The sequence below is a fragment of the Homo sapiens genome, chromosome 4 (genome assembly GCF_000001405.40).
Source record: "Homo sapiens chromosome 4, GRCh38.p14 Primary Assembly".
Taxonomy (NCBI): domain Eukaryota; kingdom Metazoa; phylum Chordata; class Mammalia; order Primates; family Hominidae; genus Homo; species Homo sapiens.
The window spans coordinates 35169132-35185249 of record NC_000004.12 but is presented as its reverse complement, the minus strand read 5'-3'; positions in this window follow the sequence as shown (position 1 = coordinate 35185249).

The following is a 16118-nucleotide window of genomic DNA, read 5'->3' as shown; positions in this document are numbered from 1 at the left end:
TTTCTTCCATTCTGCCCATTTTTTCCAGGGATGCCAATAAGTAATAGATTCATTATCTTTACATAATCCCATATTTCTTAGAGGCTTTGTTCATTCCTTTCCATTGTTGTTTTTCTCTATTCTGTCTGTCTTATTTCAGAAAACCAGCCTTGAGGCTCTTGAGTCTTTCTTCAGCTTTGTCTGTTCAGCTGTTAACACTTGCAATTGCATTATATATTTCTTGTATTGTGTTTTTCAGCTCTATCTGGTCAGTTACATTTTTTTCCACTTTAAGTTCTAGGATACATGTGCTGAATGTGCAGGTTTGTTACATAGGTATACATGTGCCACAGTGGTTTGCTGCACCTATGAACCCATCATCTAGGATTTAATTCCCGTATGCATTAGGTATTTGTTCTAATGCTCTCCCTCCCCTTTCCCTCCACCCCTCAACAGGCCCAGGTGTGTGATATTCCCCTCCCTGTGTCCATGTGTTCTCATTGTTCAACTCCCACTTATGAGTGAGAACATGCGATGTTTGGTTTTCTGTTCCTGTATTAGCTTGCTGAGAATGATAATTTCTAGCTTCATCCATGTTCCTGCAAAGGACATTGACTCATTCTTCTTTATGAATGCATATTCCAAGGTGTATGCATATTCCAAGGTGTATAGGTTCCACATTTTCTTTATCCAGTCTATCATTGATGGGCATTTGGGTTGGTTCCAATTCTTTGCTATTATAAATAGTGCTGCAATAAACATATGTGTGCATGTATCTTTATAATAGAATGATTTATATTCTTTTGAGTATATACCTAGTAATGGGGTTGCTGGATCAAATGGTATTTCTGGTTCTAGATCCTAGAGGAATTGCCACACTGTCTTCCACAATGGTTGAACGAATTTACACTCCCACCAACAATATAAAAGTGTTCCTATTTCTCCCCATCCTCACCAGCATCTGTTATTTCCAGACTTTTTAATGATCACCATTCTAACTGGCATGAGATGGTATCTCATTGTGGTTTTGATTTGCATTTCCCTAATGACCAGTGATGATGAGATTTTTTTCATATATTTGTTAGCCACACAAATGTCTTCTTTTGATAAATGTGTGTTCATATCTTTTGTCCACTTTTTGATGGAGTTGTTTGTTTATTTCTTGTACATTTGTTTAAGTCCCTTGTAGATTCTGGGTATTAGACCTTTGTCAGATGGATAAATTGCAAAAATTTTCTCCCATTCTGTACGTTGCCCGTTTACTCTGATGATGGTTTATTTTGCTGTGCAGAAGCTCTTTAGTTTAATTACATCCCATTTGTCAATTTTGGCTTTTGTTGCAATTGCTTTTGGTGTTTTAGTCATGAAGTCTTTGCCCATGCCTATGTCCTGAATGGTATTGCCTAGGTTTTCTTCTAGGGTTTTTATGGTTTTAGGCTTTGCATTTAAGTCTTCCATCCAGCTTGAGTCAATTTTTGTGTAAGGTGTAAGGAATGGGTCCACTTTCAGTTTTCTCCATATGGCTAGCCAGTTTTCACAGCACCATTTATTAAATAGGGAATCTTTTCCCCATTGCTTGTTAACGTCAGGTTTGTCAAAGGTCAAATGGTTGTAGATGTGTGGTGTTATTTCTGAGGCCTCTGTTCTGTTCCATTGGTCTATACATCTGTTTTGGTTACCAGTACCATGCTGTTTTGGTTACTGTACCTTTGTAGCATGGTTTGAAGTCAAGTAGTGTGATGCCTCCAGCTTTGTTATTTTCGCTTAGGATTGTTTTGGCTATATGGGCTCTTTTTTTTTTTCTTTTGTTCCATATGAAATTTAAAGTAGTTTTTTTCTAGTTCTGTAACAAAAGTCAATGGATAGCTTGATGGGAATAGCATTGAATCTATAAATTACTTTGGGCAGTATGGACACATTCTTTTCTACACTGACTATTTTGTCTGCAGCTCCTGTATCATTTTATTGTGATTCTCAGCTTCCTAAGATTGGGTTTAAACATTCTCTTGAATCTCAATGATCTTTGTTTCAATCCATATTCAGAATTCTATTTCTGTCATTTCAGCCATTTCATTTCAGTTAAGAAGGCTTGCTGGGGAACAAGTGCAGTCGTTTGGAGGAAAGAAAACATTTTGGCTTTTTGAGTTGTCAGAGATCTTGCACTCGTTCTTTCTAATCTTTGTGGGGTGATGTGCATTCAGTTTTTGAGGTTGGTGCCCGTCGGATTTTTTTTTCTTTTCTTTATTTGATGAACTTGGGGGTTTTGATTGTGGGAGAAGGAGGGTTTAGTTGACTGGATTTGTATCTGGAAGATTTTAGGGGCCAAGGCTCAGCTCAGTGCTTTGGGACTGTATGCTCTACCTCTGAGACTGGTATTAGGCCCCAGCTTTGATTTTTGGCTCTTCCAGTTTAGGAACCTACTGCACTGGAGGCACTGAGGTGCTCCTGGATTGCTAGTCACAACTCTCTGATGAGTGTTGCCAGCCAAAGCCCTTTTTAGGGCAGTAGCAGCAGGATCCATTCTCATTTGCATATGCCAGCAGCAGCAGCAGTAGCAGTGTGGTGGGGTGCATGCTCATTGGCTGTGGCAGTGTGCTATTGGGTGCCAGGGTGCTGGCCTCTGTGAAGATGTTCACAGCAATGGCAATGGCAACAGGGATTGGGAAGGTGGGGGCCCCCTGCTAGCAACTGTAGCATGTTTGCACTGGTTGTGATGTTAGCTAGGGGTGGAGCACTGGTGGGTGCAGGATTTTGTGCCCCCTCTGTGTGTGTACATGTGGACAGCAGCAATGCTCAGGGTGGAGGTGGGTCTGCTGTTTTCTGTGAATAGTTTTGCACAAGTGGCAGTGTAAGTACAGACTTGGGGTGCTGGGGAGATGGGGCTGGCAGCTTTGTGCCAGTAATACTCTGATGACAATGGCAGTGTAGCTGAGGCGATGGGGTGAGGTTGGTGTGCAGCTATGCCAACAGCAGTGGTATGGCAGGGTCCAGGGACACACACATTCTGGAAAGGAAAAAAGGGCAATGTCTGCCTGCACGTACATACTAGGCAGAGCGATGTGAGGTGAGGCCATGGGAGAGCACATGCAGGAAAAGCCACATAGGGTAGGCTGCAGTGGGAGGAGTACACAGGAGGGCTGGTGTGTGTCCATGGGGATTGTTCTGTTGGAGCACACTGCTGGACAGGTGCAGTCTGCCAGCACAACAGCTATGATGCAAGCCCCTGGGAGGCACTTGGGTGTTCCACTTAAAGCAAAAATGGCCAAGCTTGGGACACCGGAGAGGCCAGCAGACCCAGGGGTACTCAAGTCAGACCGGCTCCATCTCATGCGCAAGACCTCCCTGCAGAGTTCATGTCCAACAATTCCCCTAGGACTAAAGTCTGCTATAGGAGCAAGTCAAGCCAAAGGGGATGGGCATCTCTGGCTATGCTCCACTACAGACACTTCTGCAGCTCCACTACAGACACTCCTGAACCAAACCCTCTGGGTGCCACACTGGCTCAAGTTCTGCCCCACCACTTCCTTAAGCGGATCTCCCTGGCAACTCAAGTGTCCGTGATGCTCAAGGGGTCTCCTTCTACTGGGAAACCAGAGGCCCACAGCGTGAGTGGATTGCTCCTTGCCAGTTCAACTCACCCCTTCCACAGGAGTCGTTAGGGGCCAAGAATAAGTTCTGGTGCCCTGTAGCCCAGTGCATGGTCCCCAGCTTTCTGCCAGTTCAGCCTAGCATCTGTGTCTTCCCTCCATTCACTGTCAATGCCTTCCTTCTGAAGTTCTGCTAGAAGTGCACCAGTCTTTCTGATGTCCTGGTCCCCCAGTGGGAGACATTCTTCCTGGCTTCACCTAATCAGCATCTTGAAGCAGGAATCCACACTTTTTTTAATAGCAACTGTATAATCAATGTCTAGTTCTTAAAGAAAACAAACACTGAATAAACTAATCCCGCTATTATTTTGTTTAAGTATGATAGAAATTATTTATGGAAAGTTGACATCTTTTTGATAGCAATGTATATTTGGAAATAGAGGAAATCTTGACATTGATTCAAATAAAAATATGTCCGTTAGCAGCATTTTAAATATAATTTGTATATTTCTTGCATGTCATTCATATCCCATTTTGATATTACACCCAAGTAAGTTATTTGATCTCCTTATTTTCCTGCTTATAATAGTAATTTTCTCTCTTATTTTTTATCTTTAAAAAATATAAAATTTCCAATATCTACAACTACAATTACGTATTTTCTCCTATTATAATTCATAGTTGTTTTGCTCCTGGTATGAATCCAAGTGGATATTCCTTTAAATGAACTGTTGCATTCAGATTGTTAATTATTTACTGAGATTTTTAAACAATTGTTACACATGAAATTTGACCAGAGCGTTATTTTTCATATTATCTAAGTCAGGTCAGGTTTGTATAACAACCCCATGAAAGCATTTTGAATTTTTTCCCACTTTTCTGTATTCCGGACTCTCTTTAATAGCATTAGAATTTGCTCTGTGTTTATGACTTTCCATGGACATGATGCTTTGTAATGGGGCATGGGGAATAATTTACACATTTGAATACATGTGAAATTGGCTTCTTTAGGGTTTTACATATTTTAGGGAGTCAGTTTCAGAGAAAATAATTGATTGTCTAGGTTATCAAAATGACCTGAATTTTACTGAAGAAATTAGTCTCTTATTCTTTTATCAATGATGATCTTCATTCTCTTTTCTTCTTTGTGTATTTGTAGATGCTCTCATTTCAATTGATTGAATTGTTTATCTATTTAACTTTACCTTTTTAAAATTAAATTAAAGAATTAGTTCACATGTGTCTTTACCTTTTTAAAATTAAATTAAAGAGTTAGTTCACATCATTTTTTTTCTATTTTGGGGTGCCTGAATATATTTCATCCCACTATAACTTTGTTGTCATTAGAATTGTCTTACTGTTCTTTCACTTATGTATGACTTGTAACTGTATAAATTTATTATCATTTATTCCAATTATTGAAACAAGTATGTTAGAAAGGAAGAAGTTAAATTTTTCCTGTTTGCAGACAATATGATCTTATATATAGAAAACCCAAGAGTCCACCAAAAAACTGTTAGAACTAATAAATGAATTCAGTAAAGTTGTAAGACACAAAATCAACAATAAATGATGCTGGACAAACTGGATATCCATATGCTGAAGAATGAAATTTGAACTTTATTTCATACTGTATGCAAAAATAACTTTATTTTACACCATATGCAAGTAGGAAAGTCATTATGGCAAGTAATATTGAGATTCCTAAAATAATTAAAAATAGAATTATCCATATGACCCAACATTCCCAGTACTAGGTGTATATTCAAAGGTAATAAAATCTGTATGTCAAAGAGAAATCTGCCTTTTTATGTTCACTGCAGCATTATTCACCATAGCCAAGATAAGGAAACAACCTAAATATCCATTAACAAATGAATGGATAAAGAATATCTGGTATATTCACACAATTCAATACTGCTTAACCTTAAAAAAGAAGAAATTCTTTCATTTGTAACAACACGAATGAACCTGAAGAGTAAAGTAAGCTGGGCACAGAAAGACAAATACCACATGACCTTACTTATATGTGGAGTCTGAAAATCTTGAGAACATAGAAACAGGGAGTATATTGGTAGTCTCTAGAGCCTGGGGGATGGAGGAATTGAACAGTTGTTCAAGGACACAAAATTTTAGTTAGGAAAATAAGAGATACATTAATATGCACATCAATATTTCTCTACAATAATTGGTGATTACAGTTAATGACAGTATATTATATACTTGAAAATGACTACTAGAGTAAATTTTAAATCTTCTTAATACAAAAAAATGATAAGGAAGTGAGGTAACACGTATGCCAGATATCTTCATTTAACTGTTCTATAATGCATACATATATCAAAACATCATATCATTCAACACAAATATATATAATTTTTACTCATCAATTAAAATTAAACAACAAATAAAACAAAACAATAAACATGTATATTCATTTGAGAAAGTTCCTTTGAGACTATCTTGATGTGTAGGCCTTAAATACTACTGGACTATGCTCTCATTAATGTTTACTATAACTATTACTTCTTATAATTTCTTTCTCTTCATTTCTCAGCCATATTTTGTTGCATTAATTTGTAATATTTGCCTTAAACATTATATACCTGTAGGCATATAAGCATATAAGTTAATAATTTAAATAAACCAATTACTAATTATATTATTTTCAATAGTTAATTGTTTCCTAATTTTAATGATTTACCACAAATTAAATTATCAATATATTTAAATATATGCTTGTATTTAAATACATATGTGTATTTACAATTTTTAAAATTGTTTTGAATTTAAATGTTATATATTAATATCTAACACAAAAAGTAAGAGTTCATGTTTTTACATTCCTTTTTATCTCTCCCCTTTCTCTTTCAAAATTGCTTCATCAGTTGTGATCTTCTCCAGTTTATATCATTTACATATTGTTCAGTCACCAGAGGTTCAAAGGTTGCTTTAGTCTTATTCCTAAAATGAAACTAAATCAATATGCAGTGCCCGTCGTCCTTCTGTTTTTTTATTTTTTTTAACTTTTATTATAAGTTCAGGTACAGGTGCAAGATGTGCTGGTTTGTTAGATAGGTAGATGTGTACCATGGTGTTTAACCACACAGATCATCCCATCATCCAGGTATTAAGCCCAGTATTCATTAGCTATTCTTCCTGATGTTCTTCCTTCCCCTAACCTCCCACAGGTGCCCAGTGTGTGCTGCTCCTCGCATGTGTTCTCATTGTTCAGCTCCCACTTATAAATGAGACCATGCAGGGTTAGGTTTTCTCTTCCTACATTAGTTTGCTGAGGATAATGGCTTCCAACTGCACCCATGTCCCTGAAAAGGACATGATCTCATTCCTTTCTATTGAGCGTAATCCTCCATCGTGTATATATACCACATATTCTTCATCCAGTCTGTCATTGATAGGCATTTGGGTTGATTCCATGTCTTTTCTATTGTGAATAGTGCTGTAATGAACATATGCATGCATGTGTCTTTGTAACAGAATAACTTACATTTCTTTAGGTATATACCTAGTAATGGCATTGCTGGGTTAAATGGTATTTCTGCCTCTAGGTAATGTAAATCATTAAATAACTGATTTATTAGAGGAGGTCACATTTAACTTGTCATTTAATTAGCATTATTTGAATATGAGATTCCTAGAATACACAATATATTACATAATTACTAGTTGATAATGTAAGAATTCATTAACATGTGTTTTGTATACTAATCATATGATTTTGTTTCTACTCTACTTAAACTCTCATTACAATTTTCAGTTTTCCCCTTAAGGGAGAGTTGGGAAATTTAAAGTGGAAGAATATAAAGTAGTTAGCCCAAGGACTGTAATATAATAGACCTAAGGAGCAGTTCTTGCCTTCAACCAGATTTAGGAAGCATACTTTCTCTCAATTATGGAAATTAATGCTAAAGCAATTTTGTTTATATTTTTGTTCATATTCTTTCCTGATTTAATTATTTTAATAAATCATGTCGATAGTTATTTGACTGAAAAACTGGCCAGACATTAGTACATTTGCTTGGATTCTGGTGCCAAGTGAAATACAATTAAAGCAGATTTTTCTTTTGATGAAACGCTGTAAGAATTAGTAAAGCTACTGCTTTCTCAGCTGATTCATTAATTGACCTCAGTTAGAAGTTTTGCAAGGAGGAGTAATGACTGCACAATTGACCTTGATGATTAATCCACAAAAGCGTACAAAAGCAAAGGCAAAGAAGATAAAGGGTAAAAATAAAGCCTTGCCGTCTTTCATTTTTTATTCACTGTCAACCTATAGGTCAGTCAGGCAATGAAAATCTCTCACTTTTCATATATAAAACTAAATTCTAACTCAGAAACAAAAGCTTAAAAGAAGCAATTTGCCAAAAAAATGAGTCAAATACAATATGATTTATGTAATATTTAAGTGTCTGCTAAGGGGGAAAACCCCTACACACATGAAAAGAGATAAAAAATGTTGCAAATTAAGTACATTCAATCAAATAAAATTCTCTTCAAAATAATTTCTAGTCTATATTTAGATTTTCTTACCAATTCTTATTTAATATGGTTACTTTCTGATGAAAAATAGATTATATTACAAAATGAATTACTAAAATAAAGGTCAAAATTTTTAATTAATTAATTAACTTATTGAGTCATTAATCATTTTTCCCTGAAGCCAAAGGTATGTTAGCGTTAATACTGAGATATACAAAAATGAATAAAATATAGTCATATCTGCCCTCTAGGAATTCAGTCATGGAGTGTAGACAAACAGATGACACCTCAGTTACAATGGTTGTTATGAGTGCTACACTACAGTCACATAAATTTTATCTAGTGGCACAGAAACTCTGAACTTTCTCTTTCTGAAATTTTAGCAAAAGCTTTATAGGTCAGAAGTCCTCAATAGGAGCTTTACATTTAGGTAGATATTCAACACTCACAAAGTAAGCAAGAGCATTCAAGACCGTATGTTTTGTCTATGCAAAAACAACGTTCGTGCATTATGTCATATTCTGAAAATTATAGGCTTTAATTTGACTGAAGCACAGTAGGAAGGGTCAAAAACTGCTTACAATGAATTTAAAGATTTAGGTAGAAGCTAAGTGATGGAAATCTTCCTCCCTCTCTACCCTATTGAAATAAAATATTGACAGTGCTCTGTGAACAAGAAAAGTCAGTGAAGATTTGTAAAGAAACATCAAAATCAGATTTGCATATTAGAAAATTCATACTCCTAGTGTTAAAGTGTTATGTGGAATTTAAAAAATCATTAAAATTCTTTATTCTGTATAGATTTGTTTAAATATTTGGTTTTAAAGATAAACTGTTAAGAAAAAGTGTCTATGTTTTTCCAGTGTCATTATTCATAAAAGTTTTATCTAGAGAGACATAAATCAATAACAGCTTACAGAGAGATTGCCATGACATGGGCAAAGTGAGTACTTAGTTGAGATGATCAAGGAGGTGACATGGTCAAGGGATTGAATGAGAGGTGCAGCCCAGCCTCTGAAAAAACAGAGAGCCAGTGAGAACTGGGCTGTGCAGAGTAGGCAGGAAAACCACCTGCTTATAATTGTTTTTCATCTACCACAAGCCTCCTCAGCAGGACAAGAGGAAACAGGAGCAGCCAGCCAAAGGGATTCCTTGGCTGAACATATGCGTGAGGGGGGGTTGCAACGTTAATTGGCAATTTTGAGTTTTTCCAGCACACAGAGATGGAGAGTTACTTGTGCAGATTACTTAATCAATTACATAAAAATTTTAAAGTTACATTTTTTATTCATATCTCTTTGAAGGGTGTATTTCTGCCACACAGCACATGCCACTTTATTCCATTATGATAAGGAAGAAGGAAGCCTTTCATCATTTAGCTTCTATCTAAATCTTTAAATGCATCATAAGCGATTTCGACCCTTCCCCCTGTGTTGCAGCCAAACCAAAGGCTGTAATTTTAAAAATATGCCATGATACATTCACTTCATGTTTCTGCATGTTTTTGCCAGGTCTGTGCTACGCACTTTACAAGCTCTGTGACCTCTGAATCTCTTTTGTCCTTCTCACATAACTACTGTTAGAATTACTATTCTTTTAAGTGAAAGAACTAATGTTTACATAGGGAAAATAATTGTCCAAGGTTGCAAGTAAAAAAGCGTAGCTTTGGATCTATGGAATCAAGTTTCAAATCTTAAAATTTTGAAACTACGTTTACCGTATACAGAAGGTTAATACAAGTAGAAAGCATAATTAAATGTCTGCTAATGAAGCTCCACTAGGTCAGAACTAGGTTTGTCTACATCCTCCTGCATCCCTGAGCAGATGAGTGTGCATTAAACACTTAGGTATTTAAAATACGTTTGTTCAATGAACAAATGAACAAAGAATCTTCTTCTTAAAACACACAAGTGAAGATCTTGACAAATATAATTATTTTTCTCACTTTTTTCCATAAAGAACTACATTTACATGCAATCTGTTTATCAAGACACTTTCCTCAGTTATTTATCTTCAAAGTGATTGCAGATTCTTATTGAAGAATTTGTTGTGTACTTTTCATTGCACAACTCATTATTGATTCTCCTCAAGCTTTAAATACTTGAAATAATCAGGTAGATGTATCTTTGGAGGAACAGCTTGGATATGAGTACCAAAGAAATTTCACGTTCTAACATTAATTAATGATGAATTATGCCCACATTATTTAAACAACATACATTTACAAAATGTATATAAACATAAAATGTTACCAATTTGTTTCCTGGTAGAATTTACGAGGACTTCACTAAAAGACTGTGCTTAGAAGAATTTAAAGGACAACAGCTGCGTTTGGGAAAACTATCTGAGAAGCATGCAGAATTGTGTAAGACAATGAATGGACCATATGTAATGCACATTAGAAGTATTGTTTAAGGAATCATTAAATCAGACATTAAACTGTGGTGGGTTATTGTTAAGGAACAAGAATTGTGTTATTATTTTCTTCCACTTGTTTTACCCTGGATATGCCTTCCCTTCTCATGCCAGTAAAGTCTCATTTACTACAGAACATGAAGTTATATGATTTGTGGAAATTACCTTCATATACTAGATTTGTTTTTTATTGCTGCATAACAAATGACCATAAATATAACGGCTTACACCAACTCACTCACTTGGCTAAAATCAGTGTGTTGGCAGTGCTTTCCTTCTTTCTGCTGGCTGTGGGGCAAACCTGTTTCCTTGTCTTTTCCATTTTCTAGAGCCCAACCACAGTCCTTGTCTCATGATTCCCTTTCTCCACTTTGAAAGCCAAAAGTTCCATTTCTTTGTGCTTCTCTTTTGTAGTCACATCTACATTTGAATACAATTTTATGATTGCATTAAGCCCACACAGATGATTAAGGATAATCTTCATCTTAAGATCCTTAACCTTAATCACATTGGCTGTCTTTATCCATTGTTTGTTGCTATAACAAAATATCTAAAACTGGGTACTTTATGAAGAACAGAAATGTATTTCTTACAGATTTGAAGGCTAAGAAGTCCAAAGCCAAGAGCTTCACATCTGGTGAAGGTCTTTGTATAGCATCATCCAATGGCAGAAAGCAGAAGTGTGAGGGAGTGAAAGGGGGCTGAACTTGTCTTTTTATCGGGAACCCACTACTGCAATAACTAACTTGCACTTGTGATAACAGCGTAGTCCAGAGCTCTCATAATCACCTCTTAAAGTTCCATCTCTTGATACTGTTATCATTGGAGATAAATTCTCAACACATGAACTTTGGGGGACACAATTAAATTATAACATTTTGCCTAGGACCCCCAAAATTCACGCCCTTCTCACATGCAAAATACATTCATTCCATCCCAAGAGCCACAAAGTCTTCACTCATCCCAACACTAACCCAAAAGTCTAAAGTCTTATCTGAATCAGATATGGGTGAAACTCAAGATGTGATTCATCCTGAGGCAAATACCTCTCCAGCTGTGAACCTGTAAAATTAAACAAATTATCTGTTCCCAAAATGCCACAACGAGACAGGCATAGCATAAACATTGCCATTCTAAAGGCGGAAAATAGGCCAAAAAAAAAAAGAGTGTAGGCTCCAACTAAGTTTAAAACGCAACAGGGGAAACAACATTAAATCTTCATGCTGGAGAGTAATTTCCTCTTATTTTATGTCACCCATTCTCAGCACACTGAGGTGGTATTAGGCCCCCAAAACCTCTGGAAGCTCTACCACTATGGCTTTGTCAGGCTTAGTCCACCAAGTAGCTCTCACAAGTTGGAGTCCAATGCCTGCAGCTTTCTCAGGCTGGAATTTCATGTTAGTGGCCCTATGTTTCTGAGCGATCTGAAGTGGCCTCTCTCCCAGGAACTCAGGAGAAAGTGTCCTAGTTGGGGCTCTATGTAATGGTTCCATCCCTGCAAACAGTATCTACCTGGATCCCCAGACTGTCCACGATATCCTTTGAAATCTAGGTGGCGGCTTCCGTGGCTCCAAAGCTCATGCATTCTGAAGGGTGGAATACCACCAAGGTTTATGGATTGCACCCTCCAGAGCAACACAAGAGCCATACCTGGACCAGCTTGAGGCAAGGCTGGGGTGGTTGAAGTGCTCTGCTCTGGAATGCAGGGAGCAGAGACCTGAGGCAGCGCAGGGCAGTGAATGCTGAGGTTCCATGAGATTTCTCTGGAAATCTTGCCCTCAGTGTTTTACCTTACCTGGGAGATCTCTGAAAATGCCTTTGGAATCATCCTTCCATTGTCCTGATGAATAGTACCTGTTTCCCTTCTATCTATATTAGTCTCTTTTGTAAATAGTCTATTGGCTACATCCTTACTGTGCTCTCCTAAAGATACCTTTTTAATCTTCACTTGGCCAGACTATGAATTTTTCCAGTTTTTCCACTCTGCTTCCCTTTTAATTATAAATTCTGTCTTTAAACAATTTCTCACCTCTTGCATGTTACACATGCAGTTAAAAGTAGTTATACAGTTCCTTCAATATTATACTCAAAAATTTCTCACACCAGATATTCTAATTTATCAGTTTTAAATTCTGCCTTCCACAAAGTCCTAGGACACAGGTAATTTCACCATGTTATTTGCAAGTGTATAACAATGATGGTCTTTACTTTCGTTTTCAATACCTCATTCCTCATTACTATCTGAAACCTTGTATTGGTTCTTTCTCACATAAAGAAATACCTGAGACCGGGCAATTTATAAAGAGAAGAGCTTTAATTGGCTTATAGTTCTGCAGGATGTACAGAAAGCATGATGCTGGTATCTGTTCAGCTTCTGGGGAGGCCTCAGGAAACTTAAAATCATGGTGGAAGGCAAAAGGGGGTCAGACATATCATGAGGCTACAGTAGGAGCAAGAGAGGGAGAGAGTGGGGAGGTGCTACACACTTTTAAACAACCAGGTCTTATGAGAACTCACTCACTATCAGGATAACAGCACCAAGATGATGATACTAAACCATTCATGAGAAATCTGCTTCTATGATCCAATCACCTCCCACCAGGCCCCACCTCCAACATTGGGAATTACAATTTGACATGAGATTTGGGCAGGGACAGAGATCCAAACCATATCAGGCCTCACAGAATGGCCTTTATTATTTATATTTCTACCAACTTTCTGATCACAACCACGTAAGTAATTTCTAGGGAGTTCCAGACTTTCCCCACATTTCTTGACTTCTTGTGAGTACTCACTAAAATTGCCCTTAACTCTGCATTCACAGCAATCTAAACATTTTGTAACCAATTCTTCCAAAATTTTTCAGCCTTTACCCATTACCCAGTTTCCAAGCCACTTCTACAGCTTTAGATACTTATTATAGCAACAGCGCCTCAACTCAGTGCTGATTATTTTAGTCTGTTTTGTGCAGCTGTAATAGGACACCTGAGACTGGGTAATTTTAAAGAACAGAGATTTATTTCTTATAGTTTTGTAGGCAAGCAAGTCCAAGACTGAGGGGCCTTTGTGCTGTGTTATCTCATGCTGGAAAGCAGAAGGGCAAGGGAGCCGGAGCCAAGGGAGAGAAATGGAGCCAAACTCATCCTTTTACCAGGGACCTACTCCTGCTATAACTAACTCTCTACTGTGATAATAGCATAAATCCATTCATGAAGGTGAGGCCTTCCTGACCTAATCATCTCTTAAAGGATCCCCCCTCTCAACACTGTTGCACTGGGGATTAAGTTTCTTCCACATGAACTTTGAGGGACACATTCAAACCACACTGGATGCCAAGTCCCTTCTGCCATTTAAAGCCACATATCAACATGCTCTAAGATTGTCATATTTGGGGAGACACCAATCTGCCTACCCCATAAAGATTGTTTTCTATCCGTATGAACAATGGATTTTACTCATATATATGTGAATCCTTCATCCATTTATATAGTTGTAAAAGAAGAGCAAAATGATTATTAAGAATAACTACTCATACTACACAAGGAAATGTGTAACCTGGAGAAATACCTATAGAATAAAGGAAGAAAGACAAAACCCTGCCTAATGGCTAATTTTGTTTGTCAACTTGCATTGCTATAAAGAAATACCTGAGACTGGGTAATTTATAAGAAAAGAGATTTAATTGGCTCATGATTCTGTAGGCTGTAGAGGAATCATGACGTTGGAGTCTGCTTGGCTTCTGGTGAGGGCTTCAGTAAGCTTTCCATCAAGCTTCCTGAAGGTTGGAAGGCAACCTTCAGGTTGGAAGGTTGGAAGGTTGGAAGGTGGAAGGCAAAGGGGTAGTAGGCATCTCACATGGTGGGAGCAGGAGCAAGAGACAGAAAGGTGAGAGGTGCTAAACCCTTTTAAACAACCAGATATCATAAGAACTCACTCACAATCACGAAGAAAGCACCAAGAGGATGGTGCTAACCATTCATGAGAAATCTGTCTCCAGAATCCATTCATCTCCCACAAGGCCTCACCTCCAATATTGGGGATTACAATTCAACATGAGATTTGGTGGGGACATATATCCAAACTATACCAGAAGGCTATTAAGTTACTAGGTGATAGGAATTTTCCAGCTCCATTATAATATTACAGGACCATTATCTAATATGTTTTCCATCATTAAATGAAACGTTGTACAGCACATGACTGTGTACATATTTGATTGATTCTGTTTCTCTGAAGAAGCTAAATTACCAATCCAAAGGCATTTTTTCTTTTTAACTTTCAATCACTTTTGTACACAAACCTACCTTCAGCCTTAGTCAACTTACAAATATCATCAAATAAATTTTAATTATCCTAAAAGATAAATTCCCTCATACCTCCTTTTAGCACAATGGACTCAGATTCATTTTGAAAGTAATGTGAAGTTTTTCCTATTGAATAACTAAGTGAATGTGGGTTTTCTTTTGTTAGAAATATTAAGTAGTGTTCATTTTAAAAAGTTCAACTGAGATAGTATCATATACTCATACCTTGAGATTGTGCTTATATGATGAATTACAGCATTGTCAGTAGAGATTAGCCTACTCTATATATCCTATCTTCTAATTCGTCCAATAACAATAATATGTCTTCCTATTTCAAATTTCTTCTCTTTGCTGTTATGGAAGAAAATAAAAATTTTAGATATTTACCTGTACATAACAATACCTGAAAAAAATTAGCACTACAAATAATATCTCCAGAATTTTATATGCCTTCTTGAAAGTTGATGTAAAATATAAGAAAACGTAATTTAAATTGTTAAGGTTAATGAAAATTGATGATTTATTTTAACATTATGTCATCTTCTAGACAATATTATCATTTATCTATTTTAGCATTTTAGTATTGTTTGGCATAGTTGAAATAATTGTCAAGTAAAAAATAAATAATTCCTAGGGTGATTAAATATCAAATGTTTCAATACAGAGGAAAATAATATGTCTACAATTTTACATTTTATTTCAGATTTATAAAATCATCCAATAAGCCAATAAGGTAATTGCAATGTAGAATAAATTTTACATTTTATTTAAATATTTGTTATCTGTATTTAAAAAAAATTCCTAAGAAAGAATACAAGCCATAAAAGATCAATCTTCATAAATAGTTATACATGCTCAAATAAATTTAGTAACTAAAATTGGATCCAACAAACTTTGTCAGTACTTAAATGATTAATATTTTCTGCATTGAAAAATAATTTAAAATAAGTGCATCATGTGCAAGCCAGTCCTTGCTCTTAATATATCTGACAAATGTTGACTTCTCTATTGAATATTTATTATGCAAATGGATGCTAGAGATAATTTTCAGATCTTATGTAGAACACTTTGTCTTTAGATGGCATTGGCATTGCTACCATATGAAGAAATTGGCTAAATCATTATTTTACATTTAGAACAAATGTACATTGAACAGATTGGAAGAAAGACTATTCATTCCTGAAATCATAAAAAAACTTGAAATAATTGTGTGCAGATAAGTCTACATCATATTTGAATTGGTTTTATAAGATTTGTATTTTATACATATTAACACTCAGATATATATGTACACACATATACATATGTATATACAAATACATATGATATTTTC